The sequence below is a fragment of the Homo sapiens genome, chromosome 6 (assembly GCF_000001405.40).
Source record: "Homo sapiens chromosome 6, GRCh38.p14 Primary Assembly".
Taxonomy (NCBI): domain Eukaryota; kingdom Metazoa; phylum Chordata; class Mammalia; order Primates; family Hominidae; genus Homo; species Homo sapiens.
In genome coordinates this window covers 18,959,268-18,972,712 of record NC_000006.12, presented here as the reverse complement: position 1 = coordinate 18,972,712, position 13,445 = coordinate 18,959,268, and positions in this window count along the sequence as shown.

The following is a 13,445-nucleotide window of genomic DNA, read 5'->3' as shown; positions in this document are numbered from 1 at the left end:
ACTCAAAGGCCATCTGTATCCCTGTAGCTCAAAATTTAGACTAGAAGCAAGCCTGAACTTCGAGTTGTGTAACACCTCCCCCTAGTCTCCACTGTGGTCCTCTTTGATTCTTCCATCTTACCATTTCATGCCTGAAGGAAGGTAAAATGGATTTTTGTGATTTCTGCCAGATTATAACTCTCCCCTTGAGGTCCCATATGGGCCCCTGAAGCCTCGTTTTGACCCATCTGAGATATTGTCCACCTTCAACTGAAATGGTGTGAAAGTGGGTTTAGTACAAAGATGTTGAGCCATCAATAGTTACTATCCTAGACTCTATAAATGGGTTCCAAGGACCATGGGAACATCCTAAGTTTCAAGTTCATTGTTTTTCCTGAAATGAGAATCCATGGCTTTCACTAGATTTTCATGTACAATATTCAAAACCACTATCCTACAAATTAGTGTATGCAACCGACATGAACTATGTGCCTTGAAGACAGCTAGTCCCTTCAGGAGAAAAGTCAAGATGCTACGTCCTGACCTGCTGTGCTTACTATATGGATGGAAAGTTAAGACTAAGTTTTAAAACCTAGTTCATGTGTATCATTTTCCCCCCATCCAAAAGAGTCACCAAGCTTCTCTTTACATTGTGATCTTTTATTTCTGGAATATGACCCAAGTTATAAAGATATATTTCAATATACTTCATTAGGAGGCCATCTGATAAAGTCAAAGATGGTGCCTATCTTGATCTTTGCCTGATAGATAAGAGGCACTCAATAATTACTTATTGACTGACAAAAAGCACAGGAGGTACATCTGTATTTTTATGGTTGCTTCTAACTTGCACCTAAAGATGCCTTTACAAAGTTCTAGGACTACTTATATTTTCTGCAAAGATTTAATATTGAAATATGGAAATAATCCACTGAATTTCACAATTATAGATGGGGAATTTTTCACATTATACAAGGTTGTCTAAAAGCAATGGTGCTGTCTTTCAATAACTTATGAAATAAATATACATAAAAACAAAGGACAAAAATAAAAGATGGGGAATGATCAAGAAATATTACTGCAGAGGGGGCTTTGGAAGACATTAGAATATACCCCTTCTAAACAATATAGCTCTATTGTTTATAAATATGTGCAGTCCATCAGAGCCAGGTTTTTACCATTCCCCTAAACTTGTCTAATTTTGAATGCCACAATATAGGAAGACACAGAAGACTTTGAGAAACAACATAAAGCAAGCCATAAAGATAATTATTCAAAGCCTAAACAAAAAAAATATTGGGCCATGAAAAAGAAAAATGAATAGGGCATTAATAACAAATCTTCAAATATATCAAGATTCTCACTTAGAGATTGGTACAAGTCTACTCTCCACTTCCAATAATCAGCAAAGTATAGACAGACTAAAAAGTAGCATGAGGCAGTTAAATGAGACATACATAAAGGTTACCAGACAGCATGAGATCCTGAAATATCTGATCCTAAATGAGATTGGGCAAGTTCCTTTCCTAAAGCACTTTAGAAAACAAGACAGATTCTTTGCAGGACTGAATGGATGATCTCTCATCTCCTCCTTCACCCTAATGGGTTTTTAATCTAATAGAAACAAACAAACAAGGAATTAAATACTCTTCCAGTCGACGGAGAATTTCCCATTTTGGCCTCACTACTATGTTCCTTCAGAACACATGGCAATAGTTGAAAGGATTTAGTACAAAAATCTGCTGGTCATACAGAGAGAGACCCAGTATGCATCAGCAGTGAAAATCTGATTTCTTATTTCTAAAACGTGGCCGAAAAGCTCATCTGGTTTTCTGTGTGTGTGATCGTTGCCTTCCCAAGACTGAAAGCTCACTGTAGCAAAAAGCAATTAATTGAATGATGAGTCCGTGCTAACATGCCTGTGTGTGCGGATAATAGAGATAACTTAATATACATCTAATGCCACTATTAATTTATCATCTCCACCATTTAATTTTTGAAATACAATCATTCCTGAATAAAGAACCAAACACTTGAGAAAATATTTTCTAACAATTTTATGAAAGAACAAGTTAATTGCACCTGAAATTATTTAATTAGTTAACATAACTTTATTCCACATGCTATAAGCCTTTTAATACATTTTGATCACTTAAGGACTGCATTTACAACGATCTCTTTCAGTAAAGTGTAAGGTCCTTTACCAGTACCATCATGATGATCATGTATTTTCTTATTTTAAGCCAAGTGGGAATTTCACAGAATTTAGTATTTAGAGCCTTTGTTACGGAAAATGTTTAAACCAGCTTCATCTTTCAAGTAAAACTACCTCATCATTAAATCCTCAGTAAAGAAAGAGGCACATACAGTATTTGGTAAAATTGCAATGTACGCCTTTCACTAAGGGATTACGCCTTTCACTAAGGGATTGGAGAGTTTGGTGATCACATGGCCTCAGTAGGTCCTTTTCTTAGGCCTCAGATAAATTCTTATCATCCCGGTCTATGACTTATAGATTGTTAGAGAGAGGTTGTGTAGAAGGTATCAAAAGTGCCTTTTCCTTTGGATGGGAAGACCAAGGCTTGGGAATTTTGTCTTCCTCCAGGCTCGCAGCCTCCCTTGACATTCCTCCCTTAAACATTCAAATTGTATCATTTTCCCAACTTGAAAACCAACAAAGTAAGTGTGTGGCCTCTCTAACCCAAAAATTAATTTTTAAATAGGTTTTATTTACTTATTCATTTTTAAAACCATGACCCTATATTTTAAAAATTCAGTGTTACAGTTATTTATTCCTATTGTTGGATTTTCTGGATAAGTGTATACATTTTTTATAATTCTTTTGTTGATACATAATATTTGTACATATTCATGGGATACATGGATATAGTGATACATGCATAGAATATGTAATGATCAAGTCAGGTATTTAGGATATCTGTCATCTGAAGCTTTCATCATTTGTGTCAGGAACATTCCAAGCCCTCTTTAAATATACAATACATTGTTTTTAACTATAGTTACCCTACTGTGCTTTTGAACATTAGAACTTAACCCATATATCTAACTGTATATGTGTAGCTATTAGCCAACTTTTCATCCCCTCCTCCTTGCCATCCTCCACACCCTTCCCAGCCTCTGGTAACTAATCATTTTACTCTCCATCTCCATGAAATCAACTTTTTAAGCTCCCATATATGAGTGAGAACATGCAATTTTGTCATATGATAGTTCTAGTTTTAATTGGACTACCATTCTATGATAGTTCTATTTTTAATTTTTTGGGAACCTCCATACTGTCTTTATAATGGCTATGCTAATTTACATTCCAATCAACAATGCTTAAGAATTCCCTTTTCTCTGCATCTTCACCAGCATCTGTTATTTTCTGTGTTTGATAATAGCCCTAATAACTGGGGTGAGATGATAGCTCATTGTGGTTTTGATTTGCATCTCCCTGATGATTAATGATGTTGAGCCTTTTTTTCATATGTTTGTTGGCCATTTCTATTTCTTCTTTGAGAAATATCTTTTCAGATCCTTTGCCCACTTTAGTGAGATTATTATTATTGCTGTTGAATTGTTTGAGTTCCTTGTATATTCCATCCCTGTCTGATGAATAGTTTGCAAATATTTCCTCCCATTCTGCAGGTTGTTTCTTTACTGTTGATTGTTTCCTTTAATCTGAAGGAAACAACTTTGAATTTAATGGAACTGTGTTTAACTCACTATTGATTATCTAATGTGTCTGGCTCTGTTCTATTTGCTGCAGTGGATGCAGAAAAAAATAAAGTAGTATCATGGAGAATTATACTCAGTCCTACAATTTAAAAAATAACCTTTTTAAAAGGAGTTTTAGATTTATGGAAAAATTGAGTGGAAAGTACAGAGTTCCTCTAAACCAACTCCCAAGTTTTTTTCTATTATCAGCATCTATTTTTGTGGTACAGTTGTTAAAACTGATGAGCTGATATTGATAATTACTAAATACAGTCTATCTAGGGTTGATTCTTGGTGTTGTATATTATACATTGTATAGGCAAATGTATAATGGCACTATCCACCATTATGGTATTATATATAATAGTTTCACTTCCCTAAAAATAAATCTCCTGTTTTCCATCTATTCATTCTCCCTCAACCCTGGCAACCACCTTACCTTTTTACTCTCTCTACAGATTTGCTGGCTGTACATTTTTATCACTTGGTTTTCCCAACTCATTTATACCCCCTACCCCAATTCCCTCCCTCCACTGGCTCCCTTCCTATTCCATTAATATTCCCTAGCCAAATATTATAATCACTTCCTTACATATACCCTTGACCCCCTTACCTCCCTTGCCGTCACTCTTTTCATCACACTCAATAAAATTACAGTTCTCTGCCTAGTTATGCTGACAGCCCTGTGGCTGTCCACACTGACTGATAAATTCATGACCACGAATTTCAAGAGAGCCTCTATACTTCCAGTTAAGCACACTATATGCCTGGTCCACTCACTTTGTCACTTTCCCACTGGATTATTTTAGACACTTTCAGTTTCCTCAGTCTCCCACTACATCATCTTCTGTTCTGCCTTTATCCGATGATGTTGCTTCCTTCTTAATTAGAAATCCTTGAAGCAATCCGAAGAACTTCTCTCACTAAGCAGCATTTGTATTTGAAGACTGTATGTTCCTGCCAGTTAAAGTAGATGAACTAGCTTTATCCAAACTCAATCCCTCCACAACATATTAGATCCCATCCTTCTTTCCTTCTCAAGGACAGTCTTCCAGCTAGTCTCCCCCCTCTCTCTTCCACATTATCAAATATTTTTCTCTCTCATAGGTTATTTTCATTGATATACAAATCTATCCTCATCATAAAACAATAAACAACATTCAGGACATAGGCATGGGCAAGGACTTCATGTCTAAAACACCAAAAGCAATGGCAACAAAAGCCAAATTTGACAAATGGGATCTCATTAAACTAAAGAGCTTCTGCACAGCAAAAGAAACTACCATCAGAGTGAACAGGCAACCTACAAAATGGGAGAAAATTTTCGCAACCTACTCATCTGACAAAGGGCTAATATCCAGAATCTACAATGAACTCAAACAAATTTACAAGAAAAAAACAACCCCATCAAAAAGTGGGCAAAGGACATGAACAGACACTTCTCAGAAGAAGACATTTATGCAGCCAAAAAACACATGAAAAAATGCTCACCATCACTGGCCATCAGAGAAATGCAAATCAAAATCACAATGAGATACCATCTCACACCAGTTAGAATGGCGATCATTAAAAAGTCAGGAAACAACAGGTGCTGGAGAGGATGTGGAGAAATAGGAACACTTTACACTGTTGGTGGGACTGTAAACTAGTTCAACCATTGTGGAAGTCAGTGTGGCGATTCCTCAGGGATCTAGAACTAGAAATACCATTTGACCCAGCCATCCCATTACTGGGTATATACCCAAAGGACTATAAATCATGCTGCTATAAAGACACATGCACACATATGTTTATTGCGGCTCTATTCACAATAGCAAAGACTTGGAACCAACCCAAATGTCCAACAATGATAGACTGGATTAAGAAAATGTGGCACATATACACCATGGAATACTATGCAGCCATAAAAAATGATGAGTTCATGACCTTTGTAGGGACATGGATGAAATTGGAAATCATCATTCTCAGTAAACTATCACAAGAACAAAAAACCAAACACCGCATATTCTCACTCATAGGCGGGAATTGAATAATGAGAACACATGGACACAGGAAGGGGAACATAAAACTCTGGGGACTGTTATGGGGTGGGGAGAGGGGGGAGGGATAGCATTAGGAGATATACCTAATGCTAAATGACAAGTTAATGGGTGCAGCACACCAGCATGGCACATGTATACATATGTAACTAACCTGCACATTGTGCACATGTACCCTAAAACTTAAAGTATAATAATAATAAAATAAAATAAAATAAATAAATACATACATATATACTTAAAAAAAATTAAAAATAAAAATTTAAAAAAATCAACAACTTTTCTTCACCATGGCTGTGATAACGGATTTTATGTGTTAAACTGGTTTGGCCATGATACCTAGCTTTTGGTGAAACACCAGTCTAGATGTTATTATGAAGGTATTTTATATATAGTTAACACTCAAATTGGTAGAATTTGGGTAAAGCAGATTACCCTACATAATGTGGGTGGGCCTCATATAATCAGTTGAGAGCCTTAAGAGCAAAGATTGAGGTCCCCTGAGGAAGATGAATTCTGCCCCTAGACTGTCTTCAGGCTCCAGCTGCAATATCCACTGTCCCCTGGGTTTCCAGCCTGCCAGTATGCCTGCAGATTTCAAAACTTCTAGAAATCCTTATCTATTCTTGTTGGCTCCAAGTTTTTCTTCCCATTCTGTCTTCTATCTACTCCAATTAAGCTCTCCTCCCCACCATTTCATTAAACTCTTCTCATCAAGGTTTCCCATAACTTTATTACTAAGGTAGCTGACCAATCCTTGTCTTCCTTGATGTATTTTACGCAGTTCATCTATCTGTTACTTTTTCTTCTCTTCACTTCTAGGACCACACACTCTCCTGAATCTAATTTTACCTTATGGCCACCCCATTTTAGTGTCCTTTATCTCTCTTTAACCTCTTAATGTTGGCCTTCCTTCAGGCTCACTTCTTGTTCCTCTTGTCCCCTCATTCTCATGGTCATGTCACTCAGTTCCATGGCATTAAGTTGGATCTCTATGACGGCCCTTCCCAAATGTCTATGCACAGTTCAAATGTCTACAGACTCCAGAACCGTATCCTCAACTGCCTATTCAACATCTTCATTTGGCTAGAACAGTCATCTCCAGTGAAACAAGTTCCAAAGAACACCCAGTCTTATGCTCCACATTCAAAACCAGCTCTACTTTCAAGCCCTTTCCATCTCAACTGATAGCAGCTTCATTCTTCTAGTCGCTCAAGAAAAATCCTTAGAGCCACTCTTGCCTGACCTTTCTCTCACACTCCCGTATTCAGTCTAGCAGAAAATCCTGCTGGCACTATCTTCAAAATGTATTTACTTCGTACCACCTCCCCTGCTATCCTCCTGATTCTTGCTACCATTATATCTTACCTGTATGATTGCAAAGGCCTCCTAACAGGTCTCCCTTGCTCACCGCTGCCTAGTCTTATAACAGTCACAGGGAACCTTTCAACAGTTGTGTCAGATTTCTTCACTCAAAACTGTGTGCTGGTTCCTCACTTCAGAATAAACACCTCCTTGCTTGCTTGAAATGACCCATGGGGCACTCCGCAATCTGGTCCACCACACCTCTCTACCCTCCTCTCCTAATGCTCCTCTCACTCCCTTGATTCAAGTCATGGTAGCCTCCTGATATGGTTTGGCTGTGTCCCCGCCCAAATCTCATATTGAATTGTATCTCCCAGAATTCCCATATGTTGTGGGAGGGACCCAGGGGGAGGTAATTGAATCATGGGGGCCGGTCTTTCCTGTGCTATTCTCATGATAGTGAATAAGTCTCATGAGATCTGATGGGTTTATCAGGGGTTACCACTTTTGCTTCCTCCTCATTCTCTCTTGCCACTGACCTGTAAGAAGTGCCTTTCACCCTCTGCTGTGATTCTGAGACCTTCCCCAGCCACGTACAGCTATAAGTCCAATTAAACCTCTTTCGTTTGTAAATTGCCCAATCTCGAGTATGTCTTTATCAGCAGCGTGAAAATGGACTAATACACCTCCTTACTGGTCATCTCACATATCAGGTATGCTTCTGCCTTAGGGCCTGTATTCATTTTCTATGGCTGCCATAACAAATTATTACAAAATTTTGCCTTGAAACAATAGAAATGTGTTACCTTGCAATTCTGTGGGTCAGAAGTCGAACATGAGTCTCACTGGGCTAAAATCAAGGTATTTCCTTTTGAAGGCTCTAGGAGAGAATCCATGTCCTTGCCATTTCCAGTTTCCAGAGACATCCACATTCTCTGGCTCACATCTTATTCCTCTGTCTTCAAAGCCAGTAGTATTACATCTCCATGCCTTCCTTCTGTGGTCACACTTTCCTCCAACCTCCTTTTCTGCCTTTCTCTTCTACTTTTAAGGACGCTTGTGATTACACTGGGCTCACCTGGATAATCCAGGCTTATTTCTCTATCTTAAAGTCAGCTGTTTAGCAACCCTAATTTATCTGCAACATCAATTTCCCTTTGCTGTGTAACTTAACATATTCACAAGTTCTGCAGATTAAGATGTCTAATCTGGCAGTGGGAGATGTGGCAGTGTGTATTATTCTTACTACTATACAGCCTTTGCTCTAATTGTGCCCTCTGACTGGAATGTTTCTACTCTTGGTTATTTCTCTCATCCTCTTTAGGTCTTTGATGAAAGGCTTACTTTCTCAATGAGGCCTATTTTGACTATCTATTTAATCCTGCAACATGACCCCAGCCCCACCATGAGCACATCTGATTCCATTTTCACTTTGTCTTGGCTGAATTTCCTTAGAAGCAGAATCTGAGACCGAGGCTCCTGTGCAAGTGATTTAATGAGGAAGTGTTTTCAGGTGAAACTTGAAGGAGAGAGAGAATCAGGATATGGTGGGGAAAGAAGCTAGACAAAGATGTGGGTTCACTTGGAGAATGCTGGCCTGAGTCCGTAGGAGGTCTAGCCTAGCATGCAAACGGTACCTCAGAGTTGTCCCACATTGAGCACAATGACAACTCCATATCAGTCAATTATTACCTGCAGGCCAGCCCCTCCCCACCATCCCACCCCAGTCCTGAGGTGAGAGGCTGCATAACTTCCTAGGCGTCTTTTCTCAAGGCAGCACCACTGGCTGCACACAGTACCCTGGAGAAGGGTAGAACCAATACTCAGAGCAGCTGGGGGATGGAGGCACCAACCCAGTAGAGGGAATGGAGCTGAACTTCTTGCCCACACCCATCCAAATATAGTACGTCCCTGAAAGGAGGGTGCAATCCTTTGGGGGACACCTGTCTGATGGGCTGAGGTGCAGACACACAAGAAGGGGAGATTGACTTCCCCACCTCTGGATGTCGCAGGGTGCCTCTGTAGGGTGGCTGGTGGGACACAAAACCTGGCAGCTGGTGAGTCTTGTGCTGTCACATGCCGAGTCATGGGTCAGGGCCCTGGGCATATGTGAGGACCTGCACTCAGCCAGCATGTAGCCCTGTTCCCAAGGAACATGACATTAAATACAAAAAGACAAGAAAAAGACAGGCCAGGAGAGATACCACAGAAGAAAGAGATATGTTGCACACTTTGGTACCTTTAAGGGCACTAAAATGCCCTTTATCTCCTGCTCTTTGAACAAGAGGTCCTGCATTTTTGTTTTGCATAGGACCAGGCAACTATATAGCTGGCCCTGGTTTCAACTTCCTGAATTACTTCACATTCCGGTCAGACTTGTTCATATTATCTCAAATCACATTGCTAGGCACATTAAGTTATCATGTAGACTCTTCTTTCACACTTGTCCCATCTCTTAGGTTGCCTCTGCAGTTGAGGAATATCAGCTTTTATTTATCCTTTATGCTCAGATGGTAACCTTGCTTCTGTGTTATTTGGCATACTTCTCCATCAGTCTTGTGCACCTGCCTTGTGTTATAGTCATCCCTGCATGTGCCTTTGAATGTCCTCAGCATCTAATCAGGACATGCACACAGAGTGGGTCTGCAGTAAATGTGGTTAAATGTTCAATGTATAAATGAATCAATCAAGAAAGCCTGAGGTGGTTTTTTGGCCTTATCTAGGCAGGCCCCTGCTTCAGAAATATATTTCTTAGGTTCACATCATGACGCCAGAAGTAGATGGACAATTTCTGATGAGTTCAGTCTGCGATCCCAGACTTGGTTGCTTTGTCATCAAGGAGGCAATGTGCCCTCGCATCTCTCACCAGCTTCCAATCAATGGGCCTCACACAGGAACAGACACCAAGCCCAGAGAAACTGGGCACTGTCTCTCCTTGATAAAGAGTTCTTGTTTATTCACCCAAGCACTTTAGTTTTGCATTCATAAGACAAAGCAGCAAGTAGGAGCTTGTTGGGAAAAGAATAAGAGCTGCCAGAAGTGAGAGAGGGGGGTTCATTCAGTTGTCACTTGCAGCCCATTCCTTGTCTGAAGCATCTTTTACCTCCTAATTGTCTCCCTCCCCTTTCTTGTGTCTGCCTCACACAGACTGAACACTCCCAGACAGCTTTACAAATTGGCTGTGGAATTGTTAAGCAGTAAAAATTCCATTGAGTCTGAAAAATATACACTTCTCCTGCCCATGTTTATTAATCAGTTGCTATTTTATGCCTCTCCTTGTCCACCTTATTACGCTCAATGCTGCCCTAGGCCATATTGAGAAGGAGGCAGTTAGTCTTTGTCCTTTGCTCTCTGCATCCTTGGTTATGTAGTCTTTTTGTTATTTTAAAAGACTTCTCCTAATTTCCTTTTCAGGGGTCTATGTTTTCCTGAGTCTCTGTCAGATTTATATCCTCATTCACACTAGGTTATGATTGACATCATATATCATGTTTCCTAGGAGCATTTGCATCTTAAAATACCTTTCCTAGAGAGGGCAACGCTCAACCTGAAGAAGTCAGATCTCCAGTTGTGTAATTTTAGATGCTGCAGAAGGGGGATGGATGTCATTTCAGGGCAAGGGGATTCCTAGCAGCCCTCAAATCATACTCAGAAGGAAGCTATTCACTATAGATCGTGTAATTATTAGCCCTAATGATTCTCCTCCTCTTGTCACTGAACTAAGTGAGATTTATTCCTTTCTGCAGCAAACAAACATTTACCATCCACTGCTAACATAGTTGGCCCCAGGAGCTCAAATGGAAAGTGAACAGGAAAGATATTCATACTATTTAAGTTGTCTTACTGGCTTTCTACATCCAAGTTCTGGAAACGTTTGCTTCTTTTTGACAGCTTTCCAGAGGAACAGTCAAAGCCTTTAAGGACTTATGGATTGCATCTTTCACATTCTTTCCCAGCCAGTAGCAGGGAAACCTCACCGTGGCATTCCTATGATGAAAGTTGTTCAATGGCACCCATATCCTACAAAATAAAAGCTTAACACCTTAGCACAGAGCATGACTTTCCCACCTGCCCAGCCTCCTGTTCTCCTAAATAATTCCTCCTCCCATCCCTGCTTAAAGCCTCCTTCCTAAAGCCTGTACATATACTGGTGCTGCAGTAACACTCAAATTCTTAAAGCCCCGGGAACAGGTCTATTTTCTTGGGTGTCTATGCATTTTCCTAGGCTGTTTCCTCTCAAAATGCCCACTGCCTGGTAAAATCTTCTTAATGCTTTAAGTCTCAGGAATGCTTTCATTCCCTTAACCTACAGTCTCATACACCCACGTGTCTATTATAGCATTAAGTAGATCACTTTGTAGCTATCTGCTTGTCTGTCCAACTGTTTACAAGATGGTAATCTCGGGTTTTATGATTCTGTATTCTTAGTACCTAGCACAGAGCCTGGCACATAGCTGGTATTAAAAACTTAAATGACAGGCCAGGTGTGGTGGCTCACGCCTCTAATCCTAGCACTTTGGAAGGCCAAGGTGGGCAGATCACCTGAGGTCAGGAGTTCGAAACCAGCCTGACCAACATGGAGAAACCCTGTCTCTACCAAAAATAGAAAATTAGCTGCGTGTGGTGGCGCATGCCTGTAATCCCAGCTACTCGGGAGGTTGAGGCAGGAGAATCGCTTGGACCCGGGAGGCGGAGGTTGCGGTGAGCCAAGATCATGCCATTGCACTGCAGCCTGGGCAATGAGAGCAAAACTCCATCTCAAAACAAAAACAAAAACAAAAACAAAAACAAAAACAATTTAACTGATGAACCATCATCTGAACAAAATTAAAACTTTGAAAATACTACATGGCTACTTTTATTTCATAAGTGGAATGAGAACTTCCCTTTTAGAACATTATCATACAAATTAACAAACTACAGCCTGTGGCCAAACCTGGCCACCACTTATTTTTGTAAGTAAAATTTTATTGAAATACAACCATACACATTTATTTATGTATGGTTGGTGGCTGCTTTTGCACTATCACATGCAACAGAAACCCTACGGGCCACAAAGCTTAAACTCTTTACTAGTTGTATTATTTGATACTTCAAAAAGTTTCCCAACAGTTGCCTTTGGGGAGAGAGAGAAAAAGGGAGCTAACGAGTTGAGTTGTATCTACAATGAAGGAAAAAAAGGACTCAGGAGAAGAAATAAGCAATAAAGTGTGGTGATATCCTTCAATTTGCTCTAAAGGGAGGTCCAATTTTCAAGTGCCCTCACAGACTGGAAACATAGGACTCCTGAGCACAGACAGGAAAAGTGAGAATGAATTTGCCACAGGAGCCTGGAACACAAGGGTGTTGTTGTCAACTGTTTGCCAAGGCAGACAGAAGGGCAAAGACGATCCCAAGAAGTTAGTAAAAGCACTAATGCCTAATAATAATTGTAGCAGAGAGCTTTTTAGGTGCCCCATTAAAGAGAGTGCTTTGTCCTAATAAATACCAGGATGAGAGTCTGTTCTCAGAGCCCCCTTCCTGCACTTTATTCTTAATGAGCCTTGTAATGAGTGCACCGTCTTTATTTCCTTGAGAGACTCATCACTCCCTATCTTAGCCTGTTATTTAAATATATGGCATGGTGTGGAAAGCTTTAAAAAAGAAAAAGCCCAAGAAATCTTCTCTGTGCCTTTTTCAATTGCCTATGTCACCCCTGCAGGACAGAGGAGGGTGTGTAAACTGTATTCATAAGATAACAGGTTCCTCTACTTTTAATAAGGCAAAACTCATAAAAGCAGAGAAGTACTACTAAACTCCAGGTTTGTTTCTAGATATATTAGAAAAAAAACCAAAACACTTAAATAGCAATGGCTTCCCTGCACTGTTCTTTCACCCTTAAAAAAATACCAGCTCTTGGCTTCTCAAAACAAAAGGAATCAGACGTCAGTAGGTTTACCTTTGAGCTCAGGATTTCTTATTTTATTTTATTTTATTTTATTTCATTTCATATTTCATTGTCACTTTTCTCCTTCTACTATTTAGTAAATGAAAATTACCACAGAAAGAAGAGAATTACCCACAACTCTTCAGTTAAGAATCATTCTGGGTTATCAACCTGTCCAGATAGATGAGGATTTAATATTATTTTTCAATGGCAAAGTATTAAACTACGTTCTTGCCACAACCATAAAGTCATTATCTCACCTACCTTTAAAAAAGAGGGGGTGTGAAGTACGTGGTAATTTCTTAATATCACTTAATATCATCAAATATCCAGTCACTGTTTAAATTTCCTTAATTGTCTCATAATTGTTGGTTAGAATCAATGTGTGTCTGAGTCTCTTCCACTTATAGATTTTCCCTTAATCTTATTTTATCCATTGTAATTTATTTGTTAAGGAAACTGAGTTTTCATCCTGT